The 16,926-nt window shown below is 44.5% G+C and overlaps 1 protein-coding gene across 18 annotated transcripts in view; it reads right to left on the minus strand.

The window, feature by feature from the left end:
* GLOD4 (glyoxalase domain containing 4) overlaps positions 1 to 16,926 on the minus strand; it is a 26,566-nt gene continuing 9,640 nt past the window's right edge. For 11 of the 18 annotated variants that reach the window (XM_047436196.1, NM_016080.4, NM_001366250.2 and 8 more), the window contains 6 exons: positions 16,446 to 16,590; positions 11,996 to 12,132; positions 11,092 to 11,178; positions 10,715 to 10,828; positions 10,540 to 10,626; positions 1 to 909 (listed from right to left, as the gene is read on the minus strand). In XM_047436196.1, coding sequence (XP_047292152.1) covers positions 844 to 909; positions 10,540 to 10,626; positions 10,715 to 10,828; positions 11,092 to 11,178; positions 11,996 to 12,132; positions 16,446 to 16,590 — 636 coding nt within the window. In that variant the 3' untranslated portion in view covers positions 1 to 843. Of the gene's footprint in view, positions 910 to 4,232; positions 4,511 to 10,539; positions 10,627 to 10,714; positions 10,829 to 11,091; positions 11,179 to 11,995; positions 12,133 to 16,445; positions 16,591 to 16,926 lie in introns of those variants that run through there. The other 7 variants (NM_001389731.1, NM_001389733.1, NM_001389732.1 and 4 more) reach the window with 7 other exon arrangements.

Genomic DNA, 16,926 nt, shown 5'->3' on the forward strand with positions numbered 1-16,926 from the left:
TTACTTTCAAAAAAAATTTATTCAATGAATACACAATATAATTCCATTTCGAGTGATTAAAACCTATTTGTTGTTTAGAACCAAACAAAACTACAAGAAAACATTTTCAAAACCTTTTTTTTCAGGCTGAAGAAATCGTTTAATCCATTTTAAAGAAATCTCACATGATGTTCTGTCGGGATTAAAAATATACACGGAAAAAAATAAAACAAAATATATACACAGAAAGAAGCTCGCACAGAGTCAGGCGTGCAGCAACGTCACACACTCATTCCTTTCTGTTTCCTCTGGACACTCAAAATGTGAAAGCAAGTAAGAGGGGGGTGGTTAACCAAACCTTTTGGTCCAAGGAATAAAATTTCTTTAAAAAATTTAAAACGTCAAAACCTGCCAGAATAAGACAATAGAAGAGCGTATCGTCAGGCGCTGGGAATGGCACCACGACAAGGCATTAATGTGGATTCACTTGCACAGCTGCTCTCATAAAAGCTACACGATTCAGAGGTAACCCTAACTATCCGCAATCCCAACCAAAGTCATGTTCATGCCGCTGTCCTAGTCTGGACAATCATCTGTCACTCATCCAACACAGTTATATACAGAATGCGCAGTCCCAGCAACAGTGTAGATTACAGCAGGCGTTCTCTACCTGGACTCATGATTGGATTTCATTTCTAAATTACATCAGAGCTTTCAAAGATTGAAATACACAAATCTGCACTACCCAAGCCTCCTTGCCTGTACGGGAAACAAATCAGAAGAGCATTTATTGGGAACTGACACGTCAGGCCTCACAGGTGCTGGGCAGGAATCACAGAGGCTTGCTCTGCATCATGTCTTCCGTTAACCTGAAGCTTTGGGTTTATTGTGTTTGGCAAACCACTCGTCACTTTTATCTGCTGCCATTGCCTGTAAAATAGAAATAGAATATACACTGACTCCAAGCCTGAAAAACAAAAGACATAGCCCACTTTATATCTCACTGTACTGACCACAATAAAAAAAATTAACATTAAAAAAAGGACCCAAACCCCCGCTCCAAAAAAAAGAGAAGAGAAATAAAAAAAATTTTTTAACATTTAAAGAGTATTAATCCAGTACAGAGTGTTATGTTCAATAAGGCAAGAGATACTGGTGATAATGAGCAACTGTGGATCCTCACTCGGCAGAGTCAAGGGCAAACCAAGCCTGTAGCCAGGAAGTGTGGCTGGCGGACCAACGAGGTCAGGGACCCGCATGCCAGGCGGTAGGATCTCTGGTAAAAGAGCAAGTCCTGCCACTCACAGCATCTGGGCAGACGCTCAAGAATCTTTAGTGTCATGAAACTCAGTCTGATAGTGAGGCCAAATATGAAACTCTACGTGATGTTTTAGTGATGAAGCCTGGAATGATTCCTTTTTCGTAAGTCTCCTCCCGGCCTACTCTTCTGATGTTGGTTCTGTTTAGTTTGGGCATCTTAATTAAAAAGGAAGCCTTAAGCCGTGCCCAGTGGTCACACCTATAGTCACAGCCACTTGGAGGCTGAGGCCAGAGGATCACGTGAGCTCAGGAATTCGAGTTCAGCCTGTGTAACAGAGTGGGACCCCGTCTCATATACATACATACAGATACAAATAAAAATAAATGAATAATACAAAGCCTTAACAATAATGTTTTGGTTCCACAAGCATCCCTTTCGTTGTTTAGTAAGGACAAACACTCATTTATGTAGTCAAAAAGAGCCAGGTACCACGCTGGGTTCAGATGTGGCAGCAGAGACAGTCGGAAGCTTTGAGGAGTGTGCAGAACAGCTGAGAACTCAGATATGGAAACAAGTATTTTGCATGACAGAGTGTGTGTACGCATGTGTGTGTCTTGAAGCATTTGCTATAATATCTACCTCAGCAGGAAGTCACAAGATGAGGTGGCAATTGAAAAAGAAGAAACAAATATATTTATTATTTAGAAACAGTGAAGGTGAAAGTGGCTGTCCTAGGTAGTGTGACTCAGAGTTGGACCGTTTCATTTCTAAAAAATCTTAGTACTATCTGATTTATTATCTTGATGAAAATAAGAATTTAAAAATCAAAGATATGCTTAAAAAAACCACAAGTCACAAATATGCACGTTTCTGTCTTTTAGGAGCCATAAAAAGTGGGAGGAAAGAACAACTAAATTATTTGGAGAACCTAAGAAAGCTTTTTTTCTTTTTTGAAATGGAGTTTTGCTCTTGTCGCCCAGGCTGGAGTGCAACGGCGCCATCTCGGCTCACTGCAACCTCTGCCTTCTGGGTTCAAGTGATTCTCCTGCCTCAGCCTCCCAAGTAGCTGGGATTACAGGCGTACACCACCGTGCCTGGCTAATTTTTTGTGTTTAGTAGAGACAGGGTTTCACCATGTTGGTCAGGCTGGTCTGGGACTCCTGACCTCAGGTGAGCCACCCGCCTTGGTCCCCCAAGGTGCTGGGATTACAGGGGTGAGCCATCGCGCCCGGCTGAACCTAAGAAAGCTTTTAAGTGTTGAAGGACAAGTAAAAGAGGAGAGGGAAAAAACCCTTTGGGTTGGATGCAAGAAGAAGTATCTTAGCTAATATAACCAGTTCAGTGGGACTGGAATAGGGATGAGTTAGGGGACTTAGGGAGGCAGGTGGGAAAGAAGGTCAGAGGGTAGAGAATGTCCAAAAATGTCACATGCTCTGTCAGAGAGTTTGAAATTTATCTCAGAGGCAAGAGAGAGCTATCGGATTAAACGGTTTTAAAAATTACTGGCTGTTTGCTTTGGGACAGACCGTAAGTTGACAATGAGGCCTTTCAAAGGGAAAGCTGATAGGCAGAAGACATTTCAGAGGTAGAACTCACAGCTCTTGGTGACTAATAGCTAAAATAATTTAAGGATGAGGAGAAATAATGGTCAAAAGTGACTGTCTGTAAATCTAAAACGACTATTAAATGTTAAAAAACAAAACACAACAAAATAACACCAAAACTGGCTCTGAGGATTCCAGCGTGAACAACTGGGATCACAGACACGCTGTACTGTCCAGGGAGGGAGCAGGGCGCAGAGGAAGAAAAAGGACTAACTGTAAAGCCTGAAAGGCTTCCATCCAGGCCCCGGCCTGCACCTACTCAGTGCGTGATCTTCAGGGATGAAGGGGAATAATTTCATCACCATCCAGGCCCCGGCCGGCACCTACTCAGTGCGTGATCTTCAGGGATGAAGGGGAATAATTTCATCACCATCCAGGCCCCGGCCGGCACCTACTCAGTGCGTGATCTTCAGGGATGAAGGGGAATAATTATTTCATCACCATCCAGGCCCCTGCCTGCACCTACTCAGTGTGTGATCTTCAGGGATGAAGGGGAATAATTTCATCACCATCCAGGCCCCGGCCTGCACCTACTCAGTGCGTGATCTTCAGGGATGAAGGGGAATAATTTCATCACCATCCAGGCCCCTGCCTGCCACTTACTCAGTGTATGGTATTCAAGGGTGAGGGCCAATGACTTACTCATTCTTAGCCTCGGTTTCCTCATTTGCAAAGGCTGATGCTATCAACCTTGCAGGTTATATTAAGAATCAGAGAATGTGGCTGGGCGCGGTGGCTCACGCCTGTAATCCCAACACTTTGGGAGGCCGAGGCAGGCGGATCACGAGGTCAGGAGATCGAGACCATCCTGGCTAACACGGTGAAACCCCGTCTCTACTAAAAATACAAAAAAATTAGCCAGGTGTGGTGGTGGGCGCCTGTAGTCCCAGCTACTCGGGAGGCTGAGGCTGAGGCAGGAGAATGGTGTGAACCCGGGAGGCGGAGCTTGCCGTGAGCCGAGATCACGCCACTGCACTCCAGCCTGGGCGACAGAGCGAGACTCCGTCTAAAAAAAAAAAAAAAAAATCAGAGAATGTATATGAAGCACTTAAGGTTGGATGCGGTGGCTCACATCTGTAATCCCAGCACTTTGGGAGGCTGAGGCAGGTGGATCACCTGAGGTCAAGAGTTCGAGACCAGCCTAGCCAAAATGGTGAAACCCTGTCTCTACTAAAAATACAAAAATTAGCTGGACATGGTGGCGGGTGCCTGTAATCCCAGCTACTCGGGAATCCCAGCTACTCTCCTGAGGCAGGAGAATCACTTGAACCTGGGAGGCGGAGGCTGCAGTGAGCTGAGATCACACCACTGCACTCTAGCCTGGGCAACAGAGTGAGGCTCCATCTCAAAAAATAAATAAATAAATAAAAATAAAGCACTTAAGAACGTACCGATATAGTAGCATTTATTTCTTTTTATTTTTATTTATTTACATATTTTTAGTATAAATAGAGAGTTCATCTGGGCCAAGCTTGAAGACTGCAGCCCGGGAACATAGATTCAGGTTTCCCAGAATCTACACTCCCAAGTAGCCTTTATGTAATATTACTGGAAGAAGAATGGATTTGAGGTAAGATAAGTTATGGACACGCTGAGTCTGATATGTGGTAGGTTTCCTAGGTGAAGAGGTTCTCAGGATATAACATCGGTCTGGACAGAGAAAGTGCTACATGTAAGAGAAAAAGTTCATAAGCTGGACTTCACCAAAATAAAAAATTCCTCATCTTCAAAAACTCAATTAATGGCTGGGAAAAATACTTGAATTTGCAAGTGACGAAGGAATGATGAAAAACTACAGTACAGAGTCAAGGTAAGAGTCACGTAAGGCTCTGTCGTACTCTCTTCGGTTGTGCATATTTGGAATTTTCATCATGAAATATTAAAAATTATTAAAGAATGGACAAAAGACTTGAACATAAAATTCACAAAAATAAGTAAATGGCTAATAAGCACATGAGAAGGTGCTCAATATCATTAGTCATCAGGGAAATAAAAATTAAACCTCTGTGGGGCCGAGCTGGAAGGATCACTGGAGGCCAGCCTGGGCAACACAGTGAGAATCTGTCTCTACAAACATAAAAAACATCAGCTGGGCATAGTGCTGCAGCCCTAGCTATGTGGTGGCTGAGGCAGAAGGATCGCTTGATTGCACCAATGAAACCATTTCGCATGTGCTAGAATAGCTAAAAAACCCACAAAAAGCAAAATAAGTGTTGGTGAGAATGTAGACCTACTGGACCTCTCGTGGACAAACGATGGTCCGATCACTTTCGATGACTGTTTGACACTTTCTTATACAGTAAAAGCAGTTCTACTCCTAGGTATTTACTCAAGAGAAATGAAACATCTATCTACAAGAAGATTTACACTAGAATGTTCATGGCAGTCTTCCTTATAATAGATTAAAAAATCTAGAAATAAACCAAATGTCCACCATTATAAGAATGAATGAGCAAATTGTTATATTCATAAAATTGAGTATCAGTCAGCAATTAAAAAAAAAAGAGCTGTGATATGCAATTACATGGTGGAATCTCAAAACCATGTTGAGTAGGCCGGGCGCGGTGGCTCACACCTGTAATCCCAGCCCTTTGGGAGGCCAAGGTGGGTGGATCACAAGGTCAGGAGATCGAGACCATCCTGGCTAACACGGTGAAACCCGTCTCTACTAAAAATACAAAAAATTAGCCGGGCGAGGTGGCAGGTGCCTGTAGTCCCAGCTACTCGGTAGGCTGAGGCAGGAGAATGGCGTGAACCCGGGAGGCGGAGCTTGCAGTGAGCAGAGATTGTACCACTGCACTCCAGCCTGGGTGACAGAGCGAGACTCCGTCTCAAAAAAAAACAAAAAACAAAAAACAAAAAAAGCCATGGTGAGTAAAAGCAGCCAGGCACAAAAGGAAAGAAAATACTGAATGACTCCATTTGTATGAAGTCCAAGAACGAACTCACCTACAGTGACAGAAGTCAGAATAGCAGCTGATCTGGGAGATGAAGGTGCCAACTCACTGGAGATGGGCATGAGGGAACTTCCTGGGAAAATGGTCTGTATTCTGAGTAGTGGTTGTATGAGTAAACACAACCGTCAAAACACATTTAAATTCTACCTAAATTATGCCTCATCAACAACAACCACCTGTCTGAGCTGAGGAAGGAGTTAAAAACTGGAAGTGAGGAGGCTGGAGCCAGGATGATGGTTACGTTCAGGGCAGAGGTAAGGAGAGGTCGCAGGTAAGCTCTCATCAGAGTGGAGGAAGAATGCAGAATGGGAAAAACAGCAAAGTAGGGCTATGGGTATAAAAACACTTTGGGATGAGACACAGAAAGAGGTGCCCGTGTCTGAGGAGAAACTGTCAGGAAGATGAAAATGGTAGGATGGCCAGGCGCAGTGGCTCACGCCTATAATCCCAGCCCTTTGGGAGGCCGAGGAGGGTGGATCACCTGAGGTCAGGAGTTCAAGAGACAGGGTTTCACCGTGTTAGCCAGGATGGTCTCGATCTCCTGACCTTGTGATCCGCCCGCCTCGGCCTCCCAAAGGGCTGGGGTTACAGGTGTGAGCCACCGCACCCGGCCTACTCAACCAGCCTGACCAACATGGTGAAACCCCATCTCTACTAAAAATACAAAAATTAGCCAGGTGTGGTGGTGCGTGCCTGTAATCCCAGCTACCAGCTACTCAGGAGGCTGAGGCAAGAGAACTGCTTGAACCTGGGAGGCAGAGGTTGCAGTGACCTGAGATCGCGCCACTGCACTCCAGCCTGGGCAAGAGAGTGAGACTCCCAACTCAAAAAAAAGAAAAATGGCAGGATCGCTAACAGCAGAGGAGAAGAGAGCTCAGGGAGCAGGAGTTCATCAATGGTTCACATCTATAATCCCAGCACTTTGGGAGGCCAAGATGGATCGAATGATTGAGCCCAGGAAGTTTGAAACCAGCCTGGGCAACATGGTGAAACCCCATCTCTAGAAAAAATACAAAAATTAGCCAGGCATGGTGGCGCACGCCTATGGTTCCAGCTACTAGGGAGGCTGAGGTGGGAGGATCACTGGAACATAGGAGGCGGAGGTTGCAGTGAGCTGAGATCATGCCACTGCACTCCAGCCTCGGTGACAGAGAGAGACCCCGTCTTAAAAAAAAAAAAATGGGCCCAGGCGTGGTGGCTCACGCCTGTAATCCCAGCACTTTGGGAGGCCAAGGCAGACGGATCGCCTGAAGTTAGGAGTTCAAGACCATCCTGGCCAACATGGTGAAGCCCCGTCTCTACTAAAAATACAAAAATTAGCCAGGCGTGGTGGCACGTGCCTGTAATCCCAGCTACTTGGGAGGCTGAGGCAGGAGAATCGCTTGATCCCGGGAGGTGGAGGTTGCAGTGAGCCAAGATTATGCCACTGCACTCCAGCCTAGTTGACAGAGCAAGAATCCGTCTCAAAAAATAAATAAAATAAAATGGGCCAGGCACAGTGGCTCACACCTGTAATCCCAGCACTTTAGGAGGATGAGGTGGGTAGATCACTTGAGGCTAGGAGTTTGAGACCAGCCTGGCCAACCTGGCAAAACCCTGTCTCTACTAAAAATACAAAAATTAGCCAGCATGGTGGCAAGTGCCTGTAGTTCCAGCTCCTTGGGAGGCCGAGGCAGAAGAATCGCTTGACCCTGGGAGGCGAAGGTTGCAGTGAGGCAAGATTGCACCATTGCACTCCACCCTGGGCGACAGAGCTAGACTCCATCTCAAAAAATTTAATTCAGTAATTAATTTAATTAAATTAAGAGCGAGGAGGAAGAGTCTGGCAAATTTGTCAGCTGAGAGGATGACAGATTCTACTTTCCTTCAGGATAAAATGTATAAAGACTGTATTTTCTATACATTGCCTGCTTTAACGTTAATTGTGCATCTACTATTATGTCAGTAATTTGCCAAGCTCTATAAACCATAACAATCTTATGAGATAGATCCTCTTATTTTCTGAAATTTTTGGATAAGAAGACTAAAGTTCAAAGAATTTAAGTCAACTGTTTAAGGTCAGTCACAGAGTTACGTGACAGAACCAAGAAAGACCAATTTGTTCCTTTAATCATTCAACAAAGTATTTGCAGAACGTCTAGTACATGCCAGGTATGTGCTAGGAGCTAGGATCCAACAACTACTTTGAATGCTTCTGAATTACTGAGTTTGATGAGAATCTAAAAGTAGTTGCTATATTTGGCAAGAAACAAAAGCACTTCACTGAGTAACAAGAGCCAGTGCAAAACAGACTGAAGTGAAAATGGGAGGCGAGAAAGAGAAACAGTGCACACTCAGATTTTTAGAAGAAGAAATCTGGAGAGGACGTAAGAGGGAGAAACAGCGCGCACTCAGATTTTTAGAGAAGAAATCTGGAGAGGACGTAAGAGAGAGAAACAGCGCACACTCAGATTTTTAGAAGAAGAAATCTAGAGAGGACGTGAGAGAGAGAAACAGCACGCACTCAGATTTTTAGAAGAAGAAATCTGGAGAGGACGTGAGAGAGAGAAACAGCGCGCATTCAGATTTTTAGAAGAAGAAATCTGGAGAGGACGTAAGAGAGGGAAACAGCGCGCACTCAGATTTTTAGAAGAAATCTGGAGAGGATGTGAGAGAGAGAAACAGCGCGCACTCAGATTTTTAGAAGAAATCTGGAGAGTATGTGAGAGAGAAACAGCGCGCACTCAGATTTTTAGAAGAAGAAATCTGGAGAGGACGTAAGAGAGAGAAACAGCGCGCACTCAGATTTTTAGAAAAAATCTGGAGAGGACGTAAGAGAGAGAAACAGCGCGCACTCAGATTTTTAGAAGAAATCTGGAGAGGACGTGAGAGAGAGAAACAGCGCGCACTCAGATTTTTAGAAGAAGAAATCTGGAGAGGACGTGAGAGAGAGAAACAGCGCGCACTCAGATTTTTAGAAGAAGAAATCTGGAGAGGATGTGTGAGAGAGAAACAGCGTGCACTCAGATTTTTAGAAGAAATCTGGAGAGGACGTGAGAGAGAGAAACGGCGCACACTCAGATTTTTAGAAGAAGAAATCTGGAGAGGATGTGTGAGAGAGAAACAGCGCGCACTCAGATTTTTAGAAGAAATCTGGAGAGGATGTGAGAGAGAGAAACAGGGCGCACTCAGATTTTTAGAAGAAGAAATCTGAAGAGGACGTGAGAGAGAGAAACAGCGCGCACTCAGATTTTTAGAAGAAGAAATCTGGAGAGGACGTAAGAGAGAGAAACAGCGCGCGCTCAGATTTTTAGAAGAAATCTGGAGAGGACATAAGAGGGAGAAACAGCGCGCACTCAGATTTTTAGAAGAAATCTGGAGAGGACGTGAGAGAGAGAAACAGCGCGCACTCAGATTTTTAGAAGAAATCTGGAGAGGACGTGAGAGAGAGAAACAGCGCGCACTCAGATTTTTAGAAGAAGAAGTCTGGAGAGGACGTGAGAGAGAGAAACAGCGCGCACTCAGATTTTTAGAAGAAGAAATCTGGAGAGGACGTGAGAGGGAGAAACAGCGCGCACTCAGATTTTTAGAGGAAGAAATCTGGAGAGGACGTGAGAGAGAGAAACAGCGCGCACTCAGATTTTTAGAAGAAATCTGGAGAGGATGTGAGAGAGAGAAACAGCGCGCACTCAGATTTTTAGAAGAAGAAATCTGGAGAGGACGTGAGAGAGAGAAACAGCGCGCACTCAGATTTTTAGAAGAAATCTGGAGAGGATGTGAGAGAGAGAAACAGCGCGCACTCAGATTTTTAGAAGAAGAAATCTGGAGAGGATGTGAGAGAGAGAAACAGTGCGCACTCAGATTTTTAGAAGGAGAAATCTGGAGAGGAGATATGGGGTCAGTAAAAGGTTTTTAAAGGATGGGAGCTTTCAGCGCCTGTTTGCACGCTGGCGAGAATAACTCACTGGAAAGAAGAGACTGATGCTGCAGAATGGAGAAGAGATGATCAAAGGAGCTGCAGAGCTGAGGGGATCAGATGGAGGCATCTCCCTGGGGAGAGCTGAGGGGAACGGATGGAGGCATCTCCATGGGGAGAGCTGAGGGGGTCAGATGGAGGCATCTCCACGGGGAGAGCTGAGGGGATGGGATGGAGGCATCTCCATGGGGAGAGCTGAGGGGAACGGATGGAGGCATCTCCATGGCAAGAGCTGAGGGGATGGGATGGAGGCATCTCCATGCGGAGAGCTGAGGGGAACGGATGGAGGCATCTCCATGGGGAGAGCTGAGGGGGTCGGATGGAGGCATCTCCCTGGCGAGAGCTGAGGGGAACGGATAGAGGCATCTCCATGGGGAGAGCTGAGGGGGTCAGATGGAGGCATCTCCATGCAGAGAGCTGAGGGGGTCGGATGGAGGCATCTCCATGGGGAGAGCTGAGGGGGTCGGATGGAGGCATCTCCATGGGGAGAGCTGAGGGGGTCGGATAGAGGCATCTCCATGTGGAGAGCAGAATAAGCACAGATCCACCAGCAGTGGTTCCAGGGCAGCCTGAGGTTGTGGTAAGGCACAAATGCTAAGTCTAGACAAGCAGTCTACACAGGTGGCAGTGAAGACATCGGTCCTTGGCTGAGGTCAACCCAACAGCGAAAGGACGTGGTTCTGACATTAAGAACCTGGACCCTGTTGCTTAGTCTCCTCCCACACACACTTAATGCCATCCCTCTCAGGCCCATGGTGACATAAATGTAGAAATGGGACTCACATCATCCAACAATTTGCTTCCCTCTGGATCCATCTTAGAAAGTTCTCGAAATGCTTCATCCCCGACAAAGCAAATTTCATGTCCGTCCTACACCAATAAAGAGAAAAGACACCTGCCAAAGACATCCTTGAAGAAACCCCTGGTCCAGCCTGCCCCCTGCCTGAGAAATACTTACAGGGTCGGCCAGAATGACCACCTGTACTGTTGCTTTCCCTGGGGTGTCCAGGCTCACCAGGGGAGTCAGAATCTTCTGGTTCTCCCTTTTCATCAAGTCTTCTAAGTCTGGCAACTTGAGGAAAACAGAGGCAACGTGAGCCAGGGGTCACACACTACTCAGGACACGGCCCTCGTCAGTCCTAGAGGAGTATCAGATACCATAAAGAACCAAGGCGCCATTTGTTTGAATTTATTATCTCAGCTGCTCTTGAAACAACTGCTGAACTTGATACTAAAGCCACAATCAAAAAGGACCTCAAGAAGGGAAGGACAAAGTTCTTAGCTGGGTTGAACTAGCTAGTCAGAAAGCTCAAACGATCTGGTATCAAGCGTTACCTCTTTCTGGGGGCAAGAGAAGGCAATTCTTCCAAAAGCTGCTGCATGGTCCACCCCACCCTTGACGCCCTGTAGCTCCAGCTTACACTGAAATAGGAAAGGGGGTTATTTTTTGGAACAGGTTATACATTCATTACACGTATGTGGTAGAAAAATTCAAATATTATATACTAAAGGAATAAAGTAAAAACTGAGTCTCTATCCTACTCTCACCCCAGAGACAACTAGTCCACACTTTCCTGTGTATCCTTCTAGAAGCACTGCACGCATCTATGTTTTTTTTTTTACACAAATGGTGGTATAATTTACAAATTATTCTGTTCCTTGTTTTTCTCCACTTAATGTTACCATGTCAATACATAAAGATTTGCCTCAATCTTTTTGCTAGCGACATAGTAATCCATTCCATGAATGAGCCGTAAATTACTGAAATATGTCTCTAATCTATAGGACACTGAAATTCTTACACATTGTGATTACAGACAATGCTGCAGCAGATAACCTTGCACACACTTCTTTGTGCCGATGTATGTTGAGCACATCTGTAAAATAATTCCTAGGAGTAGAATTGCAGGGTCAAAGTGCAAGGACTAAATCGTGCTCAAACGCTGGGTTATTAGAAAAAGAAGATGAAAAAGATCTTGCATTAAATCCATTCAATCTCTTGGATTAAGCAATTCCACTTCTGAAGAGATATATCCCCAAATATAAACAAGGTAATATCTGGGTGGTAAGGTTATCACTTATTTTCTTCTGTTTATCTATATAAATATTGAATCACTGTGAAGAAACTATGGGAACAACCTTCATGTTAACTTCATTTATAAAGGTTATAAGCCATTTATAAGCTTCGTTTACAAGCCAAATTCAAAGTAACAGGTTATTCTTCTCCAAGATTGCTCACCTGGTTATCAGCATAGCCCAGCAAAGCCCTTTGCTTTTCTTCATCTTTTTCATAAATTTTCATTCCCAGTAGATTACACCAGTAGTTCAAGGACTTTTGAAGATCAGACACTGCTAGAGTTACTTTTAATACAGGATCTGTTGGGTAATAAAGCAGGAATAGACAGATCAATTTAATAGAATAAAATAGAAAGACCAAAACATGCGCATGTATACTTACAAATTCAGTTTATGATAAGAAAGGGATTTTAAGCCAGTATGAAGCTGGGTGCAGCGGCCCATGCCTGTAATGCCAGCACTTTGGGAGACTGAGGTAGGAGGATTGCGTGAGCCTAGGAATTCAAGACCAATGCAGGTAAAACACTGAGACCTTGCCTGTATGAAAACTTTAAAAAAATTGGCTGGGTGTGGTGGCTGATGCCTGTAATCCCAGCACTTTGGGAGGCCAAGGCAAGTGGATTACCTGAGGTCAGGAGTTTGAGACCAGCCTGGCCAACATGGCAAAACCCTGTCTCTACTAAAAATAAAAAATAAAAAAAATTAGCTGGGCGTGGTGGCGCACGCCTGTAATCCCAGCTACTCGGGAGGCTGAGACAGGAGAATTGCTTGAACCTGGGAGGCGGAGGTTGCAGTGAGCCGAGATGGCGCCGTTGCACTCTAGCCTGGGAGACAAGAGCAAAACTCTGTCTCAAAAAAAAAAAAAAAAAAAAAAAAGATTAGACAGGCGTGGTGGCTCATGTGTGTATTCCCAGCCACTTCAGAGATGGAAGCAGGAGGATCGCTTGAGCCCGGGAGGTTGAGGCTGCAGTGAGCCAAGACTGCACTACTGCACTCCAGCCTGGGTGACAGTGAGACCCTATCTCGAAAAAAAAAAAAAAAAAAAAAACAAAGACAGTATGAAAAGCCTCATTATTCAATGGACGGCGCTAAGAAGACTGGCTAATCATTTGGTAAGAAAAACTTACATCTTCGAAATAAATGACAAAATACATTCCTGATGGGTTAAAAAAATAAGTTTAGAGAATGAAACCATGAAAATACTAGATACAGATGATTATTTATACAATTTTGGAGTAGAGGAAGATTTTTCTTTAAACCTGACACCAAAGATAGAAAAACTATGAAGAAAAAACTTCTGCTACATAAATTACACAAAATGGAAAACTCCTAGACAACAACCAAGAAAAGGAATTACAATCAAAACTAGAGTATACAACACAGTAGGGGGAACAACTGCAATATATTGGACAAAAAGTCCTTAATATGTAAATCACCTGTAAATATCAATAGGAAAAGAATGAACATGCTAGAAAAATAGGCAAAAGGCACAAAGCAATAATCCACAAAACAAGGAATTAGAATGGTCAAATAACATACGAAAAAATATTCAGGCCGGGCGCGGTGGCTCACGCCTGTAATCCCAGCACTTTGGGAGGCTGAGGTGGCAGGATCATGAGGTCAGGAGATAGAGACCATCCTGGCTAACACGGTGAAACCCCGTCTCTACTAAAAATACAAAAAATTAGCCGGGCGTGCTGGCGGGCGCCTGTGGTCCCAGCTACTCAGGAGGCTGAGGCAGGAGAATGGCGTGAACCCGGGAGGCGGAGCTTGCAGTGAGCCCAGAGCGCGCCACTGCACTCTAGCCTGGGCGACAGAGCGAGACTCTGTCTCAAAAAAAAAAAAAAAATTTCAACCCGACGCCCCCAAACAACAAAGAAATTAGAATTCACATAAAATCCTTTGTTAACTAATGTGCAAATAATGTTAAAAGTTGGCAGTGTTAACTGTGTTAGTGTAGAGGGGAAAATCACAATCATGTAATACAAGTGTAAATCAGTACATTTCTGGGCAATAGTTTGATGGAATGTACCAAAAGCTTTAAAAAGTGCTCATTGCTTTTGAAAGAACAAGTCCATTTTCAGCCACTCCAAAGGTAATTGTGGATGTATGAAGGGCTTTTACGACAAAGACATTCACCAGTGTTGCTTAGAACAATAAAACACTAGGAACGACATAAATATCCAACAATAGAGAATTGTTTCTCTTCCTACAATGTAATAATACGATGGAACTCCTAAAAAAGGATATACAGAAATGTATACACTTAATTATATATACGTATTTTTGACAAAAGATTGGAAAGATATACTCTAAAATGTCAGCAGTGGTTCTCTCTGGGTACATGGGTGTGTGTGTTTTTTTTCAGCTTCTCTGCTTGTCTAAGGAAAAAACTTGATTATTTTGTAAAAAGAATAAAAGTCATATTGAAACACCTACTGTTACTGGAAACTTTTCACATTGTAAAGTGACTTTCTAAAGAGCTGTTCCACGTCTCCATCTGACTACGATAAATTCAGTACATTTTTCTTTGGCTTTACTGCCTTAGTCCTGTTTGCTAGAACAGCAATATTGGGATTAAGACGCTGTTTCTCACAAGTGCCTCCGCCTGGCAGGCTCCATTTTTTTCTTTCCATTTACTTCAAAATCAACAAATCCCAGTTGACTTGGAGCCTGAAGGGACGCAGGACAGGAAGTTAACGCGTGGGTGAAGCTGCACAGAAGTGGGTAATTCAAAGGAAAGATGAATGCCAGCCGGACAGAAGGTCTGACCACATTGTCAACCAGAAATGCCCAAGGGGATTTCCATTCCAAAGAACAAAAGCTTCTTAGCACCATGGGGCTCTCTATTATTTTAAGCACTGAAATATCACTAAGGCTGGAGAGAAAAAATGGATGGTGGAGCTAGCTGCAAGCGTTAAGTTTTAAAGTCAGCAAAGGATCAATCACCTATCAACAAAAAAACACCATCAACACCCTTTAAATCACCAGTGAGGCAGAGAAACACCATCTCTCCACGAGTCCCACACAGCCAAGTCTAGCCTCCCACACTGGAACAGACGGATCTTTCTTTTGCTGAGCACCGGATGATAAACAAGGAGCACTGAACATTCTACAGACTCAGCATGGGGGCATCGGGGACAGGAGGCCGACCAGTGAAGAAGGAGAATTTCCAGGACTCCCTTCTCAGGCCCACTTGCAGGCATACGTTCACCAAGTAAGGGAGTCGGCACAAGTGCCCTTGCCATTCGCCAGCATTTTCCCCGTTTTTGCTTTTGTTTTGTCAGAGCAGGTAGCTGAATTTGCAGGCATTAAATACAAAATGAAACACTGATGAGGCTGCCTCTGCAGTCAACAAAACAAACCCTGCAAAGTTTCCTTCTTGTTCTGTGTGGCAGTCAGCGTGGGGGCTCCTCACTTCCATGCCATCCCTGAGTACCCACGCTCAAGTCTGGGAAACTGACCTCGGCTCCAGAGGAGGCATGGCTAAATGGTTTGGGGGTGATCCTATTTCTCTTGCCAGTGATTGGTTTAGGAGCAGGCACAGTATATCAAATCTGAACAGGAAGTTTGCTGGAAGATTCTAGGAAAGTTTTTCTTCTGCTCCTAAAAAGAAAGCAAAAAGGGCCGGGCACGGTGGTTCACGCCTGTCACCCCAGCACTTTGGGAGGCTGAGGCAGGCGGATCAAGTGAGGTCAGAAGTTCAAGACCAGCCTGGACAATATAGTGAAACCCTGTCTCTACTAAAAATACAAAAATGAGCTGGGCGTGGTGGCATGTGCCTGTAATCTCAGCTACTGGAGAGGCTGAGGCAGGAGAATCACTTGAACCTGGGAGGCGGAGGTTGCAAGTGAGCCGAGATTGCAGCACTGCACTCTAGCCTGGGCGACAGAGCAAGACTCCGTCTCAAAAAACAAATAATTTTTAAAAGTTAATAAAAATACTAAAAAAAAAAAAAAAAAAGCTGAGCGTGGTGGCAGGCGCCTATAATCCCAGCTACTTGGGAGGCTGAGGAAGGAGAATTGCTTGAACCCGGGAGGCAGAGGTTGCAGTGAGCAGAGATCATGCCAGTACACTCCAGCCGGACTGACAGAGTCTCAAAAAAAAAAAGCAAAAAGAAGTCAGCATCTCCTCTCCTACCAGATGGGATTGTGGGAGCATGTGGCCCCACCTGCTCCTGGCAGCTCTCCTGCAACCTTGAGGGGACTAGTTCTAGGAGAGGTACCCGCAGAGAACAACAGAACGTAGAAAGAGAAAATGTGGGGAGCTGGTGAATCATCTAACCTTGAAATCTTTCCCACCTATAGAATGCCTGCTCTGTGAGCTAAAAGATTCTATAACTGTTCAAAGTAGTTGGGTTTTCTGTTATTTACAGATGAAAGAATCATAAATCACTACATTACCAGTAGAACAGAACTAGTCTAGATCCCCTACTGCTATGTATTTAAGTTCTGATATGAGAATGTAGTCTCTCCGATAACAGGTAAAAGCACTGGCTGGGGAAGACACGTCACGTGAACACAGACTCTACAAAAAAAAGACAGGCAGCCCTCACTCTCCTTTCACCAAAGATGCCTTTAGACAGAGGCTTTTACTGGTTCTGGTATAATTACCTGACTGAGGCAGACTGCGATTCTGCAAATAGAACTTATATCCTCCCGGGGCCTCGGTTTCAAAAACACCTTCTGCAACTTCCGTCAGTGGCCACTCCAGCTTCCTGGCGTTGCTGACAGCCTGGCTAGAAGCGAGCGTGATTCCCTACAACAAACAACAGTACATCCAAGTACATGATCACAACAGATATTTTACAGAACAAGACAATGAGCCCAACCCCTATTGCCTACTGCCTTTAGGTAAAATCACCTAAGATTTAACTGGCATCCAACATTTTCTTCTAGTGATTTAAAAACAGGTTTTCAATGTTTTATCCCACAAACATTCAGACCTTTGTGAATAATAGGACAGAAATTGAAATGCCAGTGAAGTCTGATTCATTTAACACCAAAGATAACGTCTTCTAATTCTAAAGATCTAGCCACAGAAATCTTGATGTTACCTGGGTCTGCCAGCTAGCTACCTATTTAAGGTGACCTG

Source organism: Homo sapiens, chromosome 17 (genome assembly GCF_000001405.40).
Source record: "Homo sapiens chromosome 17, GRCh38.p14 Primary Assembly".
In the NCBI taxonomy this organism is placed as follows: Eukaryota; Metazoa; Chordata; class Mammalia; order Primates; family Hominidae; genus Homo; species Homo sapiens.